The sequence below is a fragment of the Homo sapiens genome, chromosome 6 (genome assembly GCF_000001405.40).
Source record: "Homo sapiens chromosome 6, GRCh38.p14 Primary Assembly".
In the NCBI taxonomy this organism is placed as follows: Eukaryota; Metazoa; Chordata; class Mammalia; order Primates; family Hominidae; genus Homo; species Homo sapiens.
The window spans coordinates 5,937,439-5,938,422 of record NC_000006.12 but is presented as its reverse complement, the minus strand read 5'-3'; the positions used below and the strand labels follow the sequence as shown (position 1 = coordinate 5,938,422).

The following is a 984-nucleotide window of genomic DNA, read 5'->3' as shown; positions in this document are numbered from 1 at the left end:
ACATGGTCCCACTCCTTCCACGGACTGCCATTTCGGATGGAAACAGAACAAAACAGAACACCCAGGGTACTGTGGCAAGTGACTGCTCATCCCCTTGGACACAGAAGTGGAAAGCAGACAGGCGCTGCCTCGTTTGCTTGGGGGCGTAATGAAGGGAAGACTCCCAGCGGTTCAGGCTGTGAATTCGTTGCTAACCTTCCTTCTCAGGTGTCTTCAGAACTGACAAGAGGCTGGGAGAGTCCCCCGGGGTCCCCTGCTGGGGTGGCCCTCGAGGAGCTCTGAGGAGCCCACCAAGGGACGTGTGTCCCAGGGCCACCGTGCAGGCAAGTGTGGTCCAACTCCTTCCTCCCTTTACAAAACTCCAGCCTCACCCACACAAACACTGGCTGACAGGCCTTCTTAAGCCTTTTTTAACTGTTCAAAGGGAAGAGGTTTGTTATGGGGCGTGTATGTGTGTTTCGTTGTCACACCTTCATTTTCACACACCGACTCCTGCCACTCTGAGGCCTTAATCCCCGGGGCAGGAACAATGTGCTTTTCAGATAAATTGTGAATGTGCCCAGAGGGACAAGCAGACGAGAGCTGTGAGGCCAGGAGGGAACAACGAGGCATCTTGCCATGAGGTGTGCAGTGGATCGGTGCTGCCAGCTCGCTGTGCCTGCTGGAGTTATAATTGCCTTTCGGGGAGCTAAGGGCCTCTCATTGTGCAGCTTCGCTCTTCCCCCACACAGTCTTTTTCCCAGCTCTGTGACCTGGGCCATGACCTAAAGCATTTTGGTGCAGCTGTCGATTTCTGGGCCACCGCCCAAAAAAGAGAGAATAGTCCTGATCAGACTCATTCATTTATTCAAACGAAGATCTCTTATGCAACCCCTGCATTCTAGCTTCTGGGAAAAGAAGTGAACATGAACGATACAGTCTCTTTTCGTATTGAACTTACAATCTTGCAGATATGAAATGACTAATTTACCATTTATTACAGCT

General features: G+C 51.4%; 1 annotated feature.

Annotated features, from left to right (window-relative positions):
• Positions 244-745: an enhancer, noted in NCBI's record as "H3K4me1 hESC enhancer chr6:5937911-5938412 (GRCh37/hg19 assembly coordinates)". NCBI's record gives its function as "activates a minimal SCP1, AML or CMV promoter by ChIP-STARR-seq in primed H9 embryonic stem cells {active_cell/tissue: H9 hESC(primed)}" and the evidence as "EXISTENCE:reporter gene assay evidence [ECO:0000049][PMID:30033119]".